Raw genomic sequence first — 23,719 nt, forward strand, 5'->3', positions numbered from 1 at the left:
GACATCTGAAGAATGCCCCAAATCACATCAGCTTTAGGTATTTTTCCACTGCTGAATGAGTTACTGTTTCCTCCTCACCCAAACAGACATATGAATCATTTATTTCAGGAAGAGCTCTGTAACCTGGCACAGTCCCATAGGTCCCACAGGGATGGGAAAGGGAAGGGCATAAAACAGTGTTAACTGGCAATTCTCCTGTGCCCCACGTATGTGCACATGCACAGACACACACGACACACTCCACACAGTACAAAACACATGCATGCCACACACCACACACACACAACACACATGACACACACACCACACAACACACAAATGACACACACCACACAATACACACCACATATACCACACACCACACACACTATACACAACACACACCACACATATGACACACACACCACACATGACACACACACCACACAATACACACCACATACACTACACACACGACACCACACACACTACACACACCACACACCACACACAACACACAATACACAATACACGCTCCACACAATACACTACACACACCACCTACAACACACACGACACACACAACACACAATGCACACCACATACACCACACAACGCACACCACACACAAGACACAATATACAACACACACTCCACACAATACACTACTCACACCACACACACTGCACACAACACACGACACACACCACACAATGCACATCACACACACCACACACCACACACTCCACACAATACACAACACACACCACACATGACACACATTGCACACACAACACACCACACACCACACACTCCACACACACCACATACACCACACACAGCACACAACACACACTCCACACAATACACTACACACACCACATATATGACACACACACTACACAATGCACACCACATACACTACACAAACCACACACCACACATACTACAACACCACACACACCACACATACTATACACACCACACACAGAAGTCTTTGGTCTGGACTGAGCCCGTTTTCTCCATTCCTCTAAGTGCTGGAGGGTGAGGTCTCGGCCGCCTTCCTTGCGCCCTGCTTAGCTTCTGCTCAGGGCCTCGCTGTCGTGGGAGCCCCATCAGCCTTCCTGGGGCGTCGGGCCCCGCACCTTCTCCTGTGGAAGCTGTGAGGGTCTCCGCCCCTTTGGGTGGGGCTGGTGGAGAGTGGTTTCTGGGATCCCTGGATGGCAGTGTTGGGCGGCTCTGCGGGTCACCGGTGAGGACACTGTGAGCTGCCCAGGGCAAGAGCCCGTGCCAAGGCCCCACGGCCCCGAGTAGGTCCCACAAGGGCCGGGTGTTCTGGAGGACAGGCGTTGAGTGGGCCCCATCCACTTGCCATCCAACCCTGGATCCCACGACCTCACCCACAGCGGGGGAATAACTGAGGGAGTGGAGCACAGGCGGAGCATGGGCACAGGCGGCCACACTCGCTGGGCACCCAGCTCGGGGTTGGTCCTGCCGGGCCCACAGCCTCACCACCGAGGCCTCTTTCCCTGAAGCTCCTGTGGCCCTGATGAGGCCCCAGCTCTCCGTGCCTGTCAGGCACTGGGGGGTGTTTCTCAGGCCGGTGGCCCCACATCCCCGCCCAGGGACCATGGGACCCCTGCGGCCCCACAGGTGGCTTGAGTCAGACTTTTCCAGGTGCACGTGGCCTGTGGCATCGGCAGGTCTCTGTGTGCAGCCATGTGCGGCCTGTGAGCTGAAGCTGAGTCTTCCGGGCCGCCCCTCCTGGACCGTGGTGGGACCTGCCCAGGACACCAGTCCACACCTCCTCCATGCAAACGCCTCAGGCCACACCTGCAGGGGATGGGGTGAAGTTCAAAGAGGACCCTGTCCCGTCCCCCACTCTCTGCTCAAAGATGCTGCCACCTGAACCCTCCAGACTTGGGTTAATTTTGGGAGAAGGGTGGGCACTGGCACAAGGGTGGGTGAGTGGAGCGACTTGGGGGCCGCCCGCCCTGCCTTCTTTTCTGGCTGCCTGGGCATCTGCCACGGAAACTAGGTCTAGTTACAGGAAAATCAACCAAGTCCCAGGTTTTAGGCCCCTGAGCTTGGAGGCCTGTGGGATCGTGCACCTGCCACTCAGGGGCTGACTCGGCGGCTCTGGTTTCTTAAACGCACCTCTCTTCTGCGGGCGGCACCTGCTTCCTGTCGTCCTCCCGACAGCTACGTCCAGCCCAGACAGGCTGGAGCCGGATCCCCACCTGCTGCTGTCCGAGCTGTGAGCTGTGCACGTGACCCCACCTCAGAGCTGCTGGCTCCGTCCCACGGCCACAGTGGGGGCCTAGCAGGCCCTCGCCTCAGGACGCCTGTTTTTTTCTGCTGTCTGAGCAGCCTTGCCTCCCTGGGCACGCCTGGTTAGCAGGGGCTGGGGTGCAGCCTCCCGGACACGTGGGGCCGAGTGTGACACTCAGAGGGGTCGCTGACCTGGAGCTTCCCGACACAGTGGGCGCAGGCGACCTGTTCCTACCTTGGTTTTCCCTTGGTTGTCTCCCATCCTGATGCGTGAGCTGGTGGTGCTGACGCCCTGGTGAGCAGGAAAAGCTCCTCCTCGTTCTGCAGCAGAGCTACACCCCATGCTGAGCATCCCTGACGCCCACCCACAGGTCCCAGGAGCCAACGCCTATGGATGCATTGGTTACGAGGTAGAGCTTCGCCTAGGGTCACAGGTGCTTGGGCTGTCTGCTTGTAAAGTGCCCTGTCTGAAACCAACACCTGGAATTTCTATTTTTGCTGCCACAGAAGCTGCATCCACATCTGCTTGTTTGGAAAATCCAACTCATTTTCTGGCTGTGTCCAAATATCTGCATATTTTTGGACAGGGCCCTGGAATTTCTCATGGAAAGCCACAGCCAGATCTGTTTCTGTGGCCACTCCGCAGGGAGTTACATGTCACCGGAGCCTCGGCATCTGTTAGAAGATGTGGTGCACTTTGGGGATCTCTGTCTCCCTCTAGCTCTGTCTCCCTCTCCTCTATCTCTCTGTCTCTGTCTCCCTCTCTATCTCTCTGCCTCTCTTTACACCCAGCACACCTGGATTTGAACCCAGACCCAGCCTCTTGCCAGCTATGTGACCTGGGCGGGGCCAACAGTGCCTGTCAAGCCTGGTGGAGTGCCTGCCCGTTCCCAGTACAGGGCTGGACAGTGGCGGAGGCTGCCAGCTCTACCCGCTGACTGTGCACCCCAGACTGCTGTGGGGCCGAGGGGAGGCGCGGTGGCCCCGGCTGTGTCTCTGGGGGCAGCTCCCCCAGCGCTGTGCTGACTCTAGACTCAGCCCAGAAGGCAGGGACTGCGGTGTGTGGGATGCACGTGCTTCAGCACCTAGAACAGCTCCCGCCCGGGTCCACCAGGCTTTGCTCAAAGGAGGATGGTCTTGGGAAGGGAATCCCCAGGGTCCCCGCACCAGGTCCCTTGTCCTAAGGAGGGGGATGAGCCGTCTCCCTAGGTCATGGGGGGAGCGAGGGCGGCGCTTCCTGCCACTGCCTTTGCCCTGTGCAGCCTGGGCGGCCTCAGACAGAGCCTTCCTGGGTGGGTGCTGCAGCTCTGCCTCCCCCTGAGTGCCTCCTCCTTGGCTGACCCTGTCATTCACCACCTGAAGCCATTGCTAACAATAACCAATCCAGGTGGTGCTGGGCAGTGCTGCGTGGTCTCTGGGGGTTTCCTGGACGACTGTGGACCGGTCAGGGCTGGCCAGGGTCACAGAGAGGAGCCCACAGCTGCCTGTGCCAGGGTGGAGGGCCTGAGGGGGTGGACAGCACAAGACTAGTCCTGAGCTTGTCAGGAGACGTGGATGGGATGCATTCCTGTAGAGGAAGGCTCGGAACAAGCTGCCCTCCAGCAGGATCGGTGCAGGACAGGCGTGTTCCTGTCTGGCAGAACCCTGCAGTATAAAAAGCCGGCCGAACAGGAATCACGTGATTTTGGACAGGGGTGGAGATGTGAGGGAGGGAAAGGGGATCTTTAGCTTCAATATGTCATCTCCCAGCAAGATGAGAGTCTGAACCTGTGGTGTAGCTGGGTCTGCGACAAGCAATGGTATCAGCTGCTGTAACGATGTGATGATGATCACCTGTGGTGCCATGGCGTCTTCTCCCGGGTGAGTCCCGATTTCACCTGCTGTAATGATATGACGATGATCACCTGTGGTACTGTGGCATCTTCTCCCGGGTGAGTCCCGATTTCATCTGCTGTAATGATATGACGATGATCACCTGTGGTACTGTGGCGTCTTCTCCCGGGTGAGTCTCGATTTCACCTGCTGTAATGATATGACGATGATCACCTGTGGTACTGTGGCGTCTTCTCCCGGGTGAGTCTCGATTTCACCTGCTGTAATGATATGACGATGATCACCTGTGGTACTGTGGCGTCTTCTCCTGGGTGAGTCTCGATTTCACCTGCTGTAATGATATGACGATGATCACCTGTGGTACTGTGGCATCTTCTGGGTGAGTCCGGATTTCACTCAACTGCCTCACTAACCTGACATTAGGTTTTTGTTGATCTTTTTCTAGCCTGGGCAGGGCCTCCACTGACCCATAGAGAAACTGACCCGTAGAGAAACACCCAGAAATGCTCACTCCTGGCCACTGGCTGTAAGAGTTGAAGAAAGAAGAAACATGAAAAGCAGCTCAATAGTCAAAAACAGGTTTATGTTGGAGAATAAACCCTAGAGGGGCTTCGGGCCGATTTAGGTCTGGAGTGTTCTCTCTTACAGACTAAAGGTATTTAAGGATTTAGGAAGGGGAGCTTGTCGCAGGTTCAGAGTGTTTTTGGGTGGAGGGAGTTTTATGGCAGGGTTGGAAGGTTTCAGGTCAGAGGGGAGTTTATCTTGGGGTCGGCATGTTTCTGGTCAAAGGTGTCATTTGTGGTTTATGGTCACGCTGATATTAGACATTAGGTTGATGTTTTGCGGCTGGATTTTGGGGGTTTTTAATCAAGGGGAACTTAAAATGGTGGTGTTTGTCCAAGATGGCGATGTTCTTGCTCTGTCAATCCAGACCCTGTAGTTGAAAAGGACGAGGGGTGATGTGTTCTTTCTGGCTACTTCCTGCTGAGAGAGAGTGGTCCTTACGGGGCACTGAATGCAGCACTGGACTTTTGGGGGCTTAGAGGCAGCATCTGCTGATACATCTAGGAGTGGAAGAGGTGGATTTGTTCCCGGAAGCACTCTCTGTTTTGGGGGCGTAGAGGGAGCGTCTGCTGATACATCTAGGGGTGGAAGAGGTGGATTTGTTCCCGGAAGTGCTCTCTGTTTTGGGGCCATAGAGGGAGCATCTGCTGATACATCTAGGAGTGGAAGAGGTGGGTTTGTTCCTGGAAGCGCTCTCTGTTTGGGGGCGTAGAGGGAGCGTCTGCTGATACATCTCGTCTTCAGCTTATGGGGCTTTAAGAAAGCACAGCTTAGGTTTCAGTGATTTCCAGTTAGAAAAGTGGGGAAAAAGGAAAAATTGAAAACATTATTTTGGAGACTCGTAGCCAGAAAAATTAGAATTTAATCTAAACTGTAGAAAATAATAACAATTGAAAAACATCAGACAAGACTGGAATTTTAACAACAGGTGTGCTATAGTTTTTGAAACAATTTTCTCTCTCCAGTTTTCCATTTTTATTAAAAGACACATGGTAGGACTGGTTTACTTTATTATACTTGGCTTAATTATTTGTATACAGTGCAGCAAGAATAATTATTTTTCACATAGGCCTTTTAAATTGTCTTTGATGGAACTTTGTTTTATAGAAGGAATCTGAGATAAGACTTTTTAAAGCTGAGCCCAGCCATGGAATTGTACCATTAAATACCTATGAGTTGGGTGAATTCCTCTCCTGTTGAGGTTCCTGGCCTGTCAGAAAGTGACATTCTTTACTTACCCCAGATCAGAACCCCTGTGCAGGGACTGTGTACACAGAATAGGAGGCCAGTTTCCAAGGCCTTTCTTGGCTTCATAAGTCAAGTTTGATTCCTTAAAGGAAAGCACATCATTCCAACCAAAGTCTTGGTAAAATAACCAGTTTCTCCAATTGTGTCCTGTTACAAAAGAAAACAGATTCTTATTGCACTTATGCAAATCACTATATTGCCATAACTTAAGAATAGTCACAAATACTTTCCAAATTCTGGAGAAAATCAGGTAGAGAGGAACAAATAAGCTCCAAATTTTGCTCATGGGAGTATACTAAATTGTTAAAAGCTGTCAATAGCTCGCAAGACGTTTCCTTGACTCTGAAAAGCAAAACAAAGGATTAGCAACATTTTAAGCAAAATGTCAAAATGATCACTCCAGTCTCCTATTGGTTCAGTTCATGTAGTTAATTCCTGTCCTGCCTGATATTAATGAACATTTTAGCTCTTCAAGAGTCCTGAACATTTTTCCTCTATTCTGATGTCACAGTCTTCAAAGTTATCAGAAACCTGTATTGAAGAGCACCTGGTAAAACTTTATAGCTGATTATGAAACCACCTTCTAAACAGGACCAAAACAAGACAACAATTGCCTATGGATGACAAAATGTTTTAGGGTAGCCATAGTTAAAGACACAATTGACAAGGAAATCTGTTACCTTGTGGCACACAATAATTTTAACATAACAATGATAATTATTACTGATAATGTACACTAAAATATATCAGAATTATAGAAGTCTCCCATAACTTTGGAACACATACCAATAACATATTTATACAAACACAGCCCAAAGAAAGCCAAACACCATTGCATATTTGGCAATGCTTCCTGTATAATTTTTATACCAAATAAGCCGAATTTCACCTTTACATTAGTGTACTATTAATGTTAAACCCAATTCTTAATAAAACTTTATAGACATATTTACCCAATTTTAATGTTTGATCATAAGGTAAGATTTTTATAGACCTTTTATAACTCTTTACAATTTTTGTTAAAGAGCAGGCTAGTGCTCTAAGAGAAACCCATTGTGCTTTTATTTTAATGCTTAATTTGCAGAAAAACTGGAGGATACCCCTTTAACTTTAGCCAATATGTTTACAAATAGAATTTCCTTTACAATCAACCATTCACAACTTGCTTAAACCTTCATTTTTATTTTATCCAACTTAAAACAACCCTTTAACCTTTTAATCTAGGCAAAAATTCACATTCCCGTGCCTCCTTATAATCTTTTTACCAAAAGTATATTTTGCTTTCCTTACACACCTTGCATGTAAACTGTTTCTTCAATAGTCTTAAATACATGTAACACTGTTAACTCTTAGCAACCTTCACTTTTGGTGAAGACCTTGGTACGTTTGGGATTTTAAATGATGTACTAGGTGTGAAGCCTGGGACTTAGACAGAAGTGCACACAAGGTCTGATTCATTCCAGCATCAAACTCCGTGTGTCCCAGGCCTTACCTAGATATAAAGCAGGCAAGTTGTACAGCTAAGAGTCATAGTGGCATTTTATAAAGCATTTAGGAGGCCTAATCACCTTTAAATTCTACATCATTTCTTGCATAAATTCCCTTGTATAAATTCTTTTATGACTACGCAGACAAGCTACCACATGCCTTGACTTTCTGACTTGTCCTAAACATCCCTGTCTTCAAACAACCAGTTATTTTACTTCAGGACAAAAATTTATCATACAAGATCCTTTCTTATATAAATATTCTTTTCTTTAATACCTTTTTGCATAGCTAGGGGGCATGGCTAATTTCTTATATCCCCAGGCCTTATCTAGAATTTAACACTCCAAAATAAATTGAACAATTTTTAAGTCAAAGAACCAGTTTATGATCTAAAAGCATTTAATAAACCTAATATTTGACCTGCATAATTTAGACCAACTGTTTACATTTTTGAAGATATTTTTATTTTAGCAACAGTCTTTACAACTTTTTAGTTTTGTAACTTTCTTTATATCTCTCTTATTTCCTGGTTTCTTTTACCTTGTTTTATATAAAACCTTTAAATAAGCTTTGAATTAGACACAAATTATTTAACCTTTAAAAAGGATACAAGTTTTAGAAAGAATGCTTTCCTACAATATATTTTTATTGGAAAAACCTAAATAATGAAATAGCTGTAGTTTAATTTAATATAACTTTAGATTCCAAATGATGACAAGTTTGTTTACAAATATTTGTCCCATTACATTTATCTAATTATTTTAATCACTTGCCTAGATCATTTATGAAAACTGTGGTAATCATTTAAAGTTATGAAACTGCCATTGCACAATTATGACTGAGACAGTGAAAACGGTCTGAACTGACTCCATCTTGCTTCTGGCCTACCGGATACCGTCCCAGTTACCCTGGGTTCCGTGGACTCACTGGACATGGGGGCGCAGGATCCGGGCACCCTCAGTCCTCCGTTGTCAGTGCCGGCAGCGATGAGATTTCCTCCTGTGATGGTCGGAGGGGGGGGCTTCATTATGAGCCCCACCTGAACGGGGAAGGTGTCCCTGTTGGGAGCCGTCCATTTTCCAGTGTCCCCAGAGACCACAGGTTGGGCACAGTTTGGTGGGGGCAGGGGTTTAGGACAAGCTTTTGCCCAGTGTCCAGCGTTGCCACATCAGAAACAGACTCCCAGAGGTGGGGGACTTTTCTTTCGGGTTATCAGGAGGCTTTTTGTGGAGCTGACTTTTGGACAGCAGAGGTGAGCATCTGGTATTTATATGGAGATGTTTGTCTTTTTGAATTCTTTGTTCCTCGTTTGTGTTGTTAAAGACATGGAAGGCTGCATTTAGGAGGTCCCACTGAGATGTCTGGGGACCCTCCTCTAATTTTTATAATTTTTTCTGGATATCTTGGTGGATTGGGAAACAAATTGGAGGGGGAGAAAAGTTTGACCTTCTCTAGATTCTGGGTCCAAATTGGTATATTTTAGCATCGCTTCAGTGAGGTGTGGTAAGAAAAGGGCAGGATTTTCCTGGGGCTCTTATGTAATTTCTCTGAGTTTTTCATAATTAACTGCCTTATGGGCATTTTTGTCCATGCCTGCGAGGGGACAGGTGATCACGTGGTTTCTTTGCCTGAAGCCAGTGTCTCCCTGTTGGTAAGTCCAATCTGGATCTCTACGGGGCCTGCATCGTTAGCCACTGGGTTTTATATCAGGGTTTGATTATGGAGTTTATCTGCGTCGGCCTCAGCTGAATGCCATATGCTCCTTTTCATCAGGAGTGAGGGTGGAGTTAGAATTATGTCAATGTCATGCCAAGTTAAAGTAAAGGATTGGGCTATGTGCAGGAATTCCCTGTGATAATGAGAGGGATTTTCAGAGAAAGATTCCAGGTGCTGTTGGATCTGTGACAAGTCAGACGTGGAGAAAATCAGACGTGGAGAAAGGGCCATGAACGCAAGCAGTGCCTTCAACCCCAGCTACTTCCTGGAGAGGGAGAATGGCAGAGGTGGCTTGACTGGCTGGGGTAGTTTCTGAATGGGTGACTGGTGGAGAAGGAGGATGGGTGAGGTTTGGGGCTAAAGGCTTGGGGGTAGGAGGGGCCAACAGGGTGGAGGGTTTGGTCGGGTGAGGAGCAGATGCAGAGGGTTGAGAGTACAGAGGGGGTTCATCTGCAGGGTCAGAAGGGGTTTCGGAGGAAGGGATTTCGGAGGAAGGGAAGACCTGGGGAGGGTTTTCTTTAAGAAGAAGGATTTCATGAGGGGTGCAAGCATGACATAGGCAGGCCTGAATATAGGGAACCTCTTGTCATTTGCTGCTCCTGGTTATAAAGTTGTCAAGGTCCCTGAGAATTTGAAAGTCAAAGATGCTGTTTTTGGGCCATTGGCTGTCGTTATCTAGTTTGAATTGGGCCAGGCCGTGTTACCATAAAAAACTAAACGCTTTGGCTTTAGGCTCCCCTGTAAGCCAAGTTTGGTGAGGTTGTGAAGGAGACAGCCGAGCGGGGAGGGTGTAGGGATGTGGGATTGTTGGGCACCCATGTGAGCTGGTAAGAGGAGGCCGAGGGTGTCTGTTTTTGTTCTAGGTGTCTCCAGAAGAAAGACAGAGACCCAGATTCCTGTTTATAAAGAGGACAATTAACCTGAGAAGAGACTGGGAGTTCCCAAGATTTTCCCCAGCTTAATCCCACTGGTCCTCTGAGGACCAGGACGGCAGATCTGACTTTCCTGGGTACCATGAGAAAGCCAGGGGAGGGCAGATCTTACCAGTCAGCTGGATTTGTGTCTGGTGTTGGATGTTCCAGTTGGAATTGGCAAAGCGCCTCCCAGACTGGAGCCACGTGAGGAAGACAGAGAGAGAGAGAGAGAAGGATATGAAGAGGAAGAAGAAGAAGAAGAAGGAGGAGAAGGGAGGAGGAGAAGGAGGAGAAGGAGAGAAGGGTTAGAGAGTGAAATGCCCATTGTGAGCGGTTGGAGGTGGATTTCTGAGACCTGAGGATTTTGAGAGCCCACTGGGGAGTAGCCCCGGCCCAAGCCTCACAGTTCCCTTCGGGTCAGTTGTCCTCCTTATGCAAATTGCTCAGAAAGTAAAGTGAGAGAAAAGACAAGGCAGGTGGCTAGAGGCCCTCAGGATCTAGGAATTAGCCTGGGACGAGCTGCCACTGCCCACGGCTTCCTGGGTTGCAAGAGAGCCTCTGGCCCCAACACCTGTCCTAGGTTTCGGCACCAAATGTAAGAGTTAAAGAGGAAAGAAACATGAAAAGTGGCTCAACCATCAAAGAGAGGTTTATTTTGGAGAATAAACCTGAGAGGGGCTTCTGGTGAATTTAGGTCAGGAGTGTTCTCTCTTATATAAGGGTATTTAAGGGTTTATGAAGCGGGGAGCTTATTGCAGGAGCAGAATGTTTCTGGGTGGAGGAGAGTTTTATTGCAGGGTTGGAATGTTTCTGGTCGGAGGTGTCATTTGTGGTTTATGGTCATGCTGACATTAGTCAGTAAGTTGATGTTTCTGGGGCTGGATTTAGGCAGTTTTTAGTCAAAGGGAACTTAAAATGGCAGTGTTTGTCCAAGATGGTGATGCCCCTGCTCTGTCACTGGCAAAGTGCCCAGGCTGAGAGTCATTTCCTGAAGTTCACTGCCCTGCACGCAGGCACTGGCTTTGCCTTCTGATTTCCACCTGCACTTCTAATACCATGACAGAGGTTGCCCTCCAGGCAAAACACTGCAGGGCAGAGAGGGAGGCTTGCGGGCTTCCCTCACCCCCAGCTGCGGTTTCTGACTCAGCTGGCACTAGGGTCTCATGTTTGCTCCTCGTCCTACCTCTCTTGCTGTTGTCTTTAGCAAATGCATGAGCAAAGAGAGGTCTTAGACCACTGACAGAGAAATAGACCCACCGGAGGAGAGAGGCTGGAAAGCTGAAAAGTTCAATTAAAGAAACTTCTAAGTCAGCAGAAATTTAGAAATTCAGTCTCCCCAACATGAGCTTTCCCTGGTTTTGAAACCCTTAGGTCATTGGTCAGGGTCAGAAGTAGGAACGGTTGCCGCTGGGCTTGGAGACCCCACTCTGGACGTGACTGTGGGTGCTGGACGTCCCCAGGCCTCCCTGTCCTCTTCTCGATGAAGGGATGATAGGGTTGCCCTCAGGGGCTCAGGAGAGGCAGGAAAAACACCTGGGATAGTGGCTTGACGTACTCACACATCCCTGTGTCTTCTCGGACACTCCCGGAGCCAGATGCTTCTCGGAGTGTTTTGGATTTTAGGAGGGAACGTGGGGATGGGCCAGACCGTTTGATTCCTCCAGTGGAGTCTGAGGCAGTCTCCCACTTCGTGTTTCCAAAGCAAAGCACACGAACATTCACACAACGTGGGGTAAATGCAGGCTGTGCATGGACTTCTTCAGACCAGGGCATGCTTTGCTGTAAAATGAATTCAAGCATCAAACCGTGAGGGCTCTGGACTTCGGGATTCTAGCCAGAGAACCATGGGCCACCATCATCACCATCCCCACTGTCATCACAGTCTTTACTATCCCCGCTGTCACCATTGTCACCATCGTCACCATCCCTACTGTCATCACTGTCATTGCCATCATCACCATCCTGTCATCACTGTCATCACCATTGTCACCATCCTCGCTGTCATTGCCATTGTCACCTTCCCCACTGTCATCACCATCCCCATCACCATCACTGTCGTCACTGTAATTACCGTCTTCACTGTCATCACCGTCACCATCGTCACCATCCCCACTGTCATCACTGTCATCACCCTCGTCACCATCATCACTGTTGTCATCACCATCACCATCATCAGTGTCATCACCATCACTGTTGTCACCATCATCACCATCACCATCATCACCATTGTCACCACTGTCATCACCATTGTCACCATCGTCAACATCATCACCGTCATCACCATCATCATCACCATCATCACTGTTGTCACCATCACCGTCGTCACTGTTGTCACCATCATCACCATCATCACTGTCGTTACCCTCATCACCATCATCACTGTCATCACCATCACCGTCATCACTGTCGTCACTAGCAGCAGCTGCTTCCTCTCTGCTGGGGAGTGAATTTCCTCCCTGGCATCCACGTCAGAGAGCAGGCAGGAAAAGGGATTGCAGACGAGTCATCAGAAGAAACCATTACGATGGATTTCTCATTTCTCGGTCTGGGCTGGTGGCGTTGGAGATCATCTGTAGTGGCCTCTCATTCACTGAGAAGGAGGCCACGTCTTGGTTTTTGAGGAGGAGTGAGCCCTGTTCCAGGCTCACTAGTTACACATGTGACATGCATGGGGCATGCCTTCACACAGGAGACCACATTACTCCTGGCAATGGGCCCCGTAAGGCACTTCTGAGAGGTTCTAGTTGTTCGTTGTTTCATACCTGGACTCTGACACTTTAATGAACAGAACATGTGAAAATATGTCATAATTAAATAATTTTAAAATTTTGTCTCTAATAGAGAAAACTTACAGTAGGCCTTGTGCAAACCTGCTAGCTCCACAGTCAGCCACGTGCACGCGCAGGGGTGTTTTCGGAAGAGCTACATTGGGCATCTCCCAGAGCCAACGGTCTGGATTTTAATTTGGTTGCTCTCCTTTATCACTTATTTATTAGCATTTGAAAAACATGTATTCTAGACTAAAATAATGCCTGATTGGTTTAAGTTGGAAAACAGTTTTTAAACGTTCTAAGAATTTCTTCAGTGTGTGGGGAAGGCTTAAAAGGACAGAGGCTGCCTGTTGCTGACCTGAGTGGTGCGGCTTCTCTTCTCCGTTTGCTCACAGAAACCGATGATAGGTGAAATGAGCAGGTCAAAGTTCAGGGTCTTTGGAGGGTGTGGATGGTGCGAGTGTAGGGTGTAGACAGTGGCGACCATGTGGGGAGCCCCTGAGTTTTGTGGTTCTGGGACACCCGCATGGCAGGTGTGCAGGTCAGACGTGAAGAAGGGAAGCTGGAGAGGAAATTGTTAATGAGCTGAAATTGTACATGGCTTAGAACTGTGAGCAGGGACCTGCTTGTGAAGTGAATTAGGTTGTGCCTGGGAAAGCAGTGGGGAGGGGAGTGTGAGAGCCGTGAATGTGTCAAATGCTCATGGTGAATCGCGTCAGCTGGGGCTGAGGGTGACCCCTGGATTGATGGCAGGCAGGGCATGGTGACCTTGGGAGGGGCAGATTTGGGCTTGGTGACCCAGGAAGGAGGAACCAGCTGCAGGTGCCGTCCACTCTCTCCAGGAGGTTTACTCTAAAGGAAGCGAGGCGGAGGAGAGGGCATGGACGGGGAGGAGGTGTTGAGAAGACATCTGTGGTTAAGACGGGATGGGCAGCTCCAGGTGTCGGCCAGGGGCACCATGCCGCAGAGGGGAAGGCGGAGGGAGTGGGGATGGGCAGAGGGGAAGGCGGAGGGGGTGGGGATGGGCAGAGGGGAAGGCGGAGGGGGTGGGGATGGGCAGAGGGGAAGGCGGAGGGGGTGGGGATGGGCAGAGGGGAAGGCGGAGGGGGTGGGGATGGGCAGAGGGGAAGGCGGAGGGGGTGGGGATGGGCAGAGGGGAAGGCGGAGGGGGTGGGGATGGGCAGAGGGGAAGGCGGAGGGGGTGGGGATGGGCAGAGGGGAAGGCGGAGGGGGTGGGGATGGGCAGAGGGGAAGGCGGAGGGGGTGGGGATGGGCAGAGGGGAAGGCGGAGGGGGTGGGGATGGGCAGAGGGGAAGGCGGAGGGGGTGGGGATGGGCAGCAGAGGCTGCATCAGGTGCCTCTCGCAGGTGGAGCTGCTGGCCTGGGTGGGGGCTCAGGGGTTGCACTGCCTGCGTGGCCTGGCACTGGCGCAGCAGAGGCTCCTCTCTGCCCTCGGCTGGTGGCTCCCTGTGTCTCCTCCTGCCACACGTGGCCATCCTAGTGCTGGATTTATGGCGTACACAGCCATCTTAGCCGTCATCGTGTGGGTGATAACAGACCTGTGAGATGGAAGTGGCTGCTCTTGCCCATCCGGGCCCTGGCTCTGTGCCGTCATCAGCACGGTGTCACCGTGTGGCCGCCCTCCACCCGTTTGTCTCTGCACACTCGACCTGTGTACTCCACTCGCGCTTCTGGCCCTCACCATCGCCGTCACCTCCTGCCTGGGCCCTGCCGCTGCCCTCACCCCAGCCAGAGTTCTGGGAAACCCCAGGGAAGCTGGCTCCCCTCCCACTGACCACTGCACCCGGGGGCCGCGCCGCGCCTCCCTCCCTCCCTCCTGCCCCACTCATCCTGCCTCGTGGAGGCCACCGACCGACTGCCCTGGTGCTCCTTAGACCCACATGCCATGCTGTGGGGCCTTTGCAGGTGCTGCTGGGTGGCCTGGGCAGGGTCTCCACCTTGTTGAGTCTCTGCTCGAATGTCCCAGACCACAGAGACCCAGCCGCCCTCTTGAGGTAGCTGCACCCGGGCCACTCTCCCTCCCCACCTTATCCCCTTCCTTCTTTTCCTCTGATCACCATGACCTTATGCTCAGTGTGGTTTTTTTTTTTTTGTAAATCTACTTTCTTCTGTTGGAATGTAAACTCTGAGAGCAGAGGCATTTGAAGGTGACCTTTGCTCAAGAGAAGATGCCCCAACAGAATGCAATGAGATCTTCACAGCCTTCAGTCCAGATCCTTGTGGCTCCAGTGCAGGGACAGAGTTTCTCCTGGCAGTGGCCGTAGACATGCGCAGTCCTCATGGGCTATGGAGAGTGGGTTGCTTGTGTCTTTGGAGAATTGATCTGGTTCCTGCTATGCACGTTCTAGGTCACAAAAAATTTATCTGAACAAGAGTTAACAATGCCTGGAGAAAAGTCGTGACAGAGCCAGGCAGTCCAGGGGGATGTGGGCTGTTCCCTGAGGCAGCTCTCGTGAGGCTGGTTCTGGCAATGACTTTCGGACTTAGCCAGAGGAGCTGGAGGAGGCCATTCCCAATGTCTTTCCCAACACCACTGCCTGGACTCGGGTTGAAGCACCATGAGAAGCTCTTGGCATTTTCATGTTTCTGGCTGTCCTAGTGCTGACTGACCAGGCACATGGACATCCTAACACTGAACTGACCATGTACATGGACATCCTAGCCCTGGACTGACCGGGCATGTGGACATCCTAGCCCTGGACTGACCGTGTACATAGACATCCTAATGCTGAACTGACCGTGTACATGGACATCCTAGCCCTGGACTGACTGGGCACGTGAACATCCTAGCACTGGACTGACCATGTACGTGGATGTCCTAGTGCTGAACTGAACAGGCACGTGGACATCCTAACACTGAACTGACCGGGCATGTGGACATCCTAGCGCTGGACTGACTGGGCACGTGGACATCCTAGCACTGGACTGACTGGGCACCTGAACATCCTAGCGCTGGACTGACTGGGCACGTGGACATCCTAGTGCTGGATTCACTGGGCACATGGACATCCTAGTGCTGGACTGACCGGGCACATGGACATCCTAGTGCTGGACTGACCGGGCACATGGACATCCTAACACTGAACTGACCAGACACGTGGACATCCTAACACTGAACTGACCGGGCATGTGGACATCCTAGCGCTGGACTGACCGGGCACGTGGGCATCCTAACACTGAACTGACCAGACACGTGGACATCCTAGCACTGAACTGACTGGACACATGGACATCCTAGCTGTGGACTGACCGGACACATAGACATCCTAGCACTGAACTGACTGGACACATGGACATCCTAGCTGTGGACTGACCGGACACGTGGACATCCTAGCACTGAACTGACTGGACACATGGACATCCTAGCTGTGGACTGACCGGACACGTAGACATCCTAGCACTGAACTGACTGGACACATGGACATCCTAGCTGTGGACTGACCGGACACGTGGACATCCTAGCACTGAACTGACTGGACACATGGACATCCTAGCTCTGGACTGACCGGACACGTAGACATCCTAGCACTGAACTGACTGGACACATGGATATCCTAGCTGTGGACTGACCGGACACGTGGACATCCTAGCACTGAACTGACTGGACACATGGACATCCTAGCTGTGGACTGACCGGACACGTGGACATCCTAGCACTGAACTGACTAGACACATGGACATCCTAGCTCTGGACTGACCGGACACGTAGACATCCTAGCATTGAACTGACTGGACACATGGATATCCTAGCTCTGGACTGACCGGACACGTAGACATCCTAGCACTGAACTTGCTGCGCGTGGCCACACTCTCGCTGAATTTTACCTTTCACACTGAAAGAGCGGGAGGAAGGACAGCCAGGCAGAGCTGGGACATCTGCGAGGACGTTCGCAGGGTGGGAAGTGTTATGCATGACCAAGTTTGAATGTGTTTATGAAACATGGGTGATGGAAGGTAGACCCTGCAATTTTTAGGGATGCTCTAACAATTCGGTGCTTCTGTGATGTTTTGGGTGAAATTGGGTGGGGGTGAAATATGAACACCTCTCAACGGTCTGGGCCTGTGTCCTGCCCAGGGCTGGGTTGCAGCAGGTTCCTGGCTCCATGGCATTCATGAGGGGTTACTGGGTTGGAAGGTGAACATCTAGGGCCAGCACATCCTGGCAGAGTCTCTGCTGCACGCATTTACGGTGAGAGACCCAGCAGAGCCTGGATGAGTCACCTGCCACCCACTTCTGAAAGTGGCCGGGGCATCTAGCGGGTGGCACCTGCCGGCCGCCGAGCCGGACAGGGACGCTGGATCCTCCTGGGATGGCTTCGGCTCCCACTAGGCAGATGTGGGCTTCCTAACGTTGGGCAGCCCCAACGAATCTGGGGGACCACACTGGTCACACACCCCTCAGGGATCTGTGGGAGCGACGTCGTGTGGACAGATGTCCCCTTGGGGACACCAGTGGCTCTGAGGGTGGTGACTCAACCAGGAGCAGGGAAGGGGTGCTTGTGCTCCTGAGCTGAGGCGCTGTCTGAGCGAAAGATGTTTAGAGCCCCAAGTCCTTAGAGCCGCACCTGCAAAATGCAAATTGTGATGATGATGTCACAGTTGTGCGGATTAGAAGGATGGGTCGAGCGAAAGAACTTTGGAAGCTTTAAAGTGATTTTCTTCATCTTTAAGTCTTTTTTCCTTCTGCCTCTTTGGTTGGGAATTGTGCCCAACAGAAACTGTGGGAGTTCTTAAGGAGCGTGTGCAGTGGTGACGGGACCACGGCCCCTCTGCGTGCTTGCATCTAATGCTGGAAGCATGTCTGCAGGCATGATGGGATGTGACGCCGCTCTCCCTGCAATGCTAGAGCGAGGCACGCAGCCCCCTGATCCAGGCCGGCACCCACGAGAAGGGTGCACTGCGGGACAGGAACATCCCCCGGAACTGCGGGAGGCCCCAGAGCTGGGGACGCGGCCCCGCTGGAGGCCGGCTTTCATCTTCCTCTGGGAAGGTGGAGGGGCTTGGCCCCGACTGGGAAACCTCAAATGTTGCCCTCTGAGCCGTCTGTGTGTGTTTTTATGTATTTGTTCAAACAATTACATTTTTAATGTATTTTACGTATTTATACCTAACTGAATGTAGGAAATTTCAGTTAGGTGTAATTTCTGCCCGCTGTTTTTACACAGCTCTGCATAATAGTCATTTTACTTTTATGCAGCAGTTTCATCAGGAAAATAGGAAGGTGAAGGAAGTCTCTTGCCTTCGGCCACACAACCTTGGCATTGACGACCTTCTGACCGTAACATGGTGGCTGCAGCTCACCCCTAGCCCTGCACATCGTGGCCTCTGCCCCACCTCAGTGGGCCCCAGTCCCACCGACGTGCAGCCCCCAGCACCTTCCCTGTCTCCCCTTGAGGAAATTCTGTTTATTCTTCCAGGACTCGTTCAGGCCTTCCTTCTTTCTCAGGGTGCAATGAGGCCTTCCTTGTGTGTGCACCCAGAGCCCTGGCTTATGCTTTGCTATGGTGGCCGTCAGACGGGGTCAGCTGTTCAAGAGGGAACCTCCCTCATCTGTCTGTTCCTCCAGCACACTGGGCAGCTACACCATGCGATGGGCTCCGTCATTATTTAGTCAGTCGAACCAGAGCAATTAGGCAGAAGAGGAGATTTTTAAATTGCCACAGCCTGTAGAAAGTCCAAATAGAAGTAAGCTTTTGGTTCAGACCCAGGCTAATGCAGCCATGGTTTTCTGCACAGCTTTCTTCTGGGAGCATCTCAACTTTCTTTTAGGCAATCGATGATAAAATGCCAGAAACGTGAGACGCGGGAAGGGCGGGGAGGTGCCTGTTTTGCTCATGTCTGCGCCTGCAGCACCAGGCTGCGTATCCCGTGGGGACGCTGGAGCGTCCGTGACACTCATGAATAAGTCAGTGAACCCAGCACCTCCCTTTCCAGAGGGGGAACCAAGGACCACTAGGGGCAAGTCCAGCCCAGCAGTTCAGAGAACGCTCTGGAAGGACTCAGCTTGCCAGCTCTGCTCTGCTCTGCCTGGGGAGGTGGAGGGGGGATGCGAGGGTAAGGGCTCCGGTCCAAGGCCACCCCGAGAACCCTTGTGCTGCCCTTGGGTCTGGTGGCCACGTCCCCCTCTGCCCCCTCGCACAGCCACTGGGAGACAGAGCTCAGGGGTGTCGGCCAGCTTCCTGCTAACTGCCCGGACTTTGTTCAGACCTACCTCTTCTCGTAAACCTAAAGTATGTATTTTGGAAGGGCACGTGCTTGATGTCTGAGCTCTCAGAATGTCTCGTCTGATCTGCTGTGGAGGAAAGTTGCCTTAGAAGAAGGTGCCAGCAGGTGGGAGAACCATCTCTCTGTAACTCACGCAGGGACCGTGCCGGTCTGGGACCCACCTGAGAAGAAAGGTGCCAGCAGGTGGGAGAACCATCTCTCTGTGACTCACGCAGGGACCGTGCCGGTCTGGGACCCACCCAAGGACGCACTGACTTCTGTGGACTCGCTCTCCGGCCCGCTGCCCCAGCCCTACCGCCTCATCACTCACATTTAATGCAAGGTGGCATCGGTGACTGCCAAGCGTGGGCTCACCAGGAAGCCCCCAGTTGACAGCTCTTCCTCTGCTGAAGGATAAAAACACCCAGACTCGCAGTGAGGGTGCCCACTGTTTAAAAAAGAAGCTGCACTTTCCTCCGCAAAAGGGCTTGGCCAGCAGCGTGGTGCGCCCTGGACCGGCTCTGATGGGGCTTCCAGGGAGGACCCCCAGCGGGCCTGTGGTGTGGAGGGTCAGAAGGAGAGGGAGGGGCAGGCGGCCACCACTGGTCCATGGCCTGAAAGGTTTGGGCCCGCCAGCCCCCACCCCCCGCCTTCTGCTGCTGTGGGGCCTGATGGGAATGCGTCCCACCTGCGAATCCAGCGGGTAGCGTTAGAGCCTTGGCAGATGGGCTGGATTTGGCTTCTCTTTGGGTTGCGGGTGACGATAGGTGTGCAGCCTGGGGCAGAGATGGACACACAGGGCCATGCTGACATCGGGGGAAGAGGCCACAGCAGTTCCACGTGAGGGTCACGGTCGATGGAACTCCTCTCTCCACATACTTGGCTCCCCAGGGAGAAGGAAGGTCGGGGTGCCTCTGCCGGGCGTCTTTGCAAGTGTGAGGAGGAGACCACTCTGCTCGGTCGGCTCTGCTCTGAGTCTGGACGAGCACCCACGCTCGTGCCTGGTGCGCAGGACAGGTCCGAACAGACTCAGGCTTCCCCTGTCCCTGTGTAGCACCATGTGCCCGAGCCACAGGCCCTCCCTCTGCTGTTACCGATGGGTTCTGCTTGTCACTGGGACCTCTTTCCCGAGCCGACAACTCATCCATCGGGACGGAACCAAGCGAGATGCCAACTCGGGGCCACAGTTTTCAGCGGCCATTCAGGAGGGTCTGCTCTGCCCAGCGTGGTACCAAGCCAGGCACCGAGAAAAGAATGACAGCACCCGCCCTCTGGTCAGGGGTCCACGGGGATGGAGACTCCCTGCTAGTTTTTAGGGTTAGGGCAGGACACCCCGCTTTATAGCAGAGTTTGTAGTGGCAAGAAATTGCCAACTGTTTAACTATCCATCAGAGTGCACTGGTTAACTAACGCACTATAAACCATTCCTGGCTCCAAGCTCCAAGACCATTAGGTAGGAAAAGCAGGTTGTGCGACAGTGTGTGAAGCTGATCCGATGACTGTAAAGGCCTGTGTCAAGCATGCACATGTGTGTGCGTGTGATGAGCACACATTAGGGTTGGGCACACGCCCTGCCGTCTGGGGTTGCTTCTCAGAGGCGCGTGCCGAGGGCCCGGGGATGGCAACGCCCTTCCGTGCAGAAGGCGCCTGGGTGGGTCTTGCGGAATAGACGCGTGAGGACGACCCGCAGGGTGGAGTCCGGCCTGGCCAGGGCTGGAAGTCATAGGACGAAAGGTAGAGGTGAGAAGAGGCAGTTCTGTGAAAGAAGCCCCGACCTCGAGCTGGGACTTTGAATTGGTTTGCGTTTGAAAACCGGGGTTGGTAAAAGCTGGGCACCCACACCTCTCCTTCTGTTGCAGCTGGTGGCAGCGATCGTGTTTATCAGTTTTGGCGTGGTGGCCGCCTTCTGCTGCGCCATCGTGGACGGCGTATTTGCAGCACAGCACATTGTGAGTACATTGTCATTGTGTGCACAGTCGCTTTCCGGGGCTGAAAGAGTCGACGTGAAAAAAGTACAATTTCATTTTGCAGATCTCAGCTCAGACGGCTTCACCGTCAGTCTCCACGCTGGGGGTTGCCAGTGACTGTCTCTCCTCTCAGTAAGTCTCATTTCCTACACAACGAACTTCCCTCTCCACACAGACTACACACACCACACAACACACAGAGCACACAGCACACACCACAACAGAGCACAGAGCACACACACCACAACAGAGCACACAGCACACAACACACAGAGCACACAGCACACACACAACACAGCACACACCACACAACACACAGAGCACACAGCACACACACCACAACAGAGCACACAGCACACACCACACACCACACAACACACAGAGCACACAGCACACACACAACAGAGCACACAGCACACAACACACAGAGCACACAGCACACACACCAAAACAGAGCACATAGCACACACCACACAACACACAGAGCACACAGCACACACACAACAGAGCACACAGCACACACACAACAGAGCACACAGCACACACACCAAAACAGAGCACATAGCACACACCACACAACACACAGAGCACACAGCACACACACCATAAGAGTACACAGCACACAACACACAGAGCACACAGCACACACACAACACAGCACACAGCACACACCACACAACACACAGAGCACACAGCACATACACAACAGAGCACACAGCACACACACAACAGAGCACACAGCACACAACACACAGAGCACACAGCACACACACCATAACAGAGCACACAGCACACAACACACAGAGCACACAGCACACACACAACAGAGCACACAGCACACACCACACAACACACAGAGCACACAGCACACAACACACAGAGCACACAGCACACACACAACAGAGCACATAGCACACACCACACAACACACAGAGCACACAGCACACAACACACAGAGCACACAGCACACACACAACAGAGCACATAGCACACACCACAGAGTACACACCTCACACACCACACAGAGCACACGCCTCACACACCACACAGAGTACACACCTCACACACCACACAGAGCACATACCACACAGAGTACACACCTCACACCACACAGAGTACACACCTCACACCACACAGAGCACACACCTCACACACCACACAGAGCACACACCACACAGAGCACACACCACACAGAGTACACACCACACACACCACAGAGAGCACACACCACACACACTACACACACCACACAGAGCACACAGCACACACACCACACAGAGCACACACCACACACACATACACACCACACCACGCTCTTTTCACCTCTAAATGAACAGGTTTTCTCTAAAGTCGCAGGCCAAGGAATCGTTTCTGTGTCCTCCTGAGGTGCGTCCTCAGCCTCCGGTGGGCTGCGCCATCCCCCCTCCTCCCTGGCTGGGCTCCTGGGTGGGCTCTCGCCATCTGGGCGTCAGCTGGTCCCCGGGAGCAGCCGAATTGCTTGTCATGAACTCTCAGACCAAACCTGTGATTGTTTCTCCCTCTTTTTCCATAAATCACACTGAAAGGCACTGAAGGTTGGTGTTAGGCCTTTGTCTGCCCCAACGGTTTCATTATATGAAGGCAAGTGTGGGAGCACATTCACAAAACACACGTGCGTGCGCACGCATGCACACACCACGGCCCACATGCTCACACTCGCGCGCACACACACACTCCCACGGAGGTGCGTCATGGGAGCTTTCTCAGCGGGTGGCTGGGTGACTTGCTATTCTATGGCTTCCAGACGGTGGTTTCCACTGTGCTCCAGGCGCCCGTGGCCGTGGCCCCGCCGAGGAGCAGGGTCCAGTCTCTGACCGCAGTCGGGGGTGTCCCCAGGTTCCGGACCTCGGGCGCCTGTCCATTCTGGAGGGCCACGCGGGGCATGCATCTAGGCAAGTGTGGGAGCCTCTTGGTTAGAAACAAAGCAGGGCCCCTGGCCGGGGCCTCCCAGGGCTGACTTTAGGACGGATGCGCAGACAGCACTCACTGGAGCTCAGATGCCATCGAGGAAAATGTGGCACTGCCTCGTGTGCTGCTGAGGAAGAAGACAGATGGTGAATTACAGCTCTAAGGGCGTCATATGGGGAGATGCGTGCCTTCCAACTGTTGAGAGAGGCCGAGGACACCGTGCTGCTAGGCCTCTGTCCCCATGGGGTTCCGGCACACCGCCCTCCCTCCCAGCAGGAGCCTCTGTCCGTGGGGTTGGGGTGCACTGCCCTCTCTCCAGGAAGGAGCCTCTGTCCCCTTGGGCTACTCATTGTTACCTGTGGTCTCATGTCTGTCCCCTCAGGGGAAGATAAACACCCAGAGACAGAGACTTGTGTCTGCTTCCTCCATTGCTGTGTCACCTAGAACGCATCCGGCCATAATAGTACTTCACCAGTGGGGGCCCAAAGGACCGATGAGTGATTCTCATTCTCATCTGTTGCAGTGTTACTAGTGGTTTCTAATACTTTTCTTGGTTCAGAACTAGGAGCCTTTGAGAAATACTAATAAAACTAAACGTGGGCAATGTGACCCTAGCTTATTTGCAGGTGATGCAGTTTTGTGGCATTTTAGTTTTGGTACTTCCTGCTGTCCTCTACCATAGCAATTATAAGCACTTTGCAATGGTCAGTTTATGGGTCTGTCTTCTTCACTAGTCTATAAATCCCTTAAGGGCAAGAACTGTGTCTCGTTATCCTTACCATTTGGCACTGTGTCT

At 52.0% G+C, this 23,719-nt stretch overlaps 1 protein-coding gene across 2 annotated transcripts in view, besides 2 other annotated features; it reads left to right on the forward strand.

The window, feature by feature from the left end:
* The window catches only part of TMEM255B (transmembrane protein 255B), a 57,770-nt gene that overhangs the window by 15,054 nt on the left and 18,997 nt on the right, over positions 1–23,719 (forward strand). For both annotated transcript variants that reach the window (NM_182614.4, NM_001348663.2), the window contains exon 4: positions 20,869–20,958. In NM_182614.4, the coding sequence (NP_872420.1) occupies positions 20,869–20,958 (90 nt within the window). The remainder of the gene's footprint in view (positions 1–20,868; positions 20,959–23,719) is intronic.
* Positions 13,911–14,440: an enhancer, noted in NCBI's record as "H3K27ac-H3K4me1 hESC enhancer chr13:114491163-114491692 (GRCh37/hg19 assembly coordinates)". NCBI's record gives its function as "activates a minimal SCP1, AML or CMV promoter by ChIP-STARR-seq in naive and primed H9 embryonic stem cells {active_cell/tissue: H9 hESC(naive and primed)}" and the evidence as "EXISTENCE:reporter gene assay evidence [ECO:0000049][PMID:30033119]".
* Positions 14,441–14,969: an enhancer, noted in NCBI's record as "H3K27ac-H3K4me1 hESC enhancer chr13:114491693-114492221 (GRCh37/hg19 assembly coordinates)". NCBI's record gives its function as "activates a minimal SCP1, AML or CMV promoter by ChIP-STARR-seq in primed H9 embryonic stem cells {active_cell/tissue: H9 hESC(primed)}" and the evidence as "EXISTENCE:reporter gene assay evidence [ECO:0000049][PMID:30033119]".

The sequence above is a fragment of the Homo sapiens genome, chromosome 13 (genome assembly GCF_000001405.40).
Source record: "Homo sapiens chromosome 13, GRCh38.p14 Primary Assembly".
Lineage (NCBI taxonomy): Eukaryota > Metazoa > Chordata > Mammalia > Primates > Hominidae > Homo > Homo sapiens.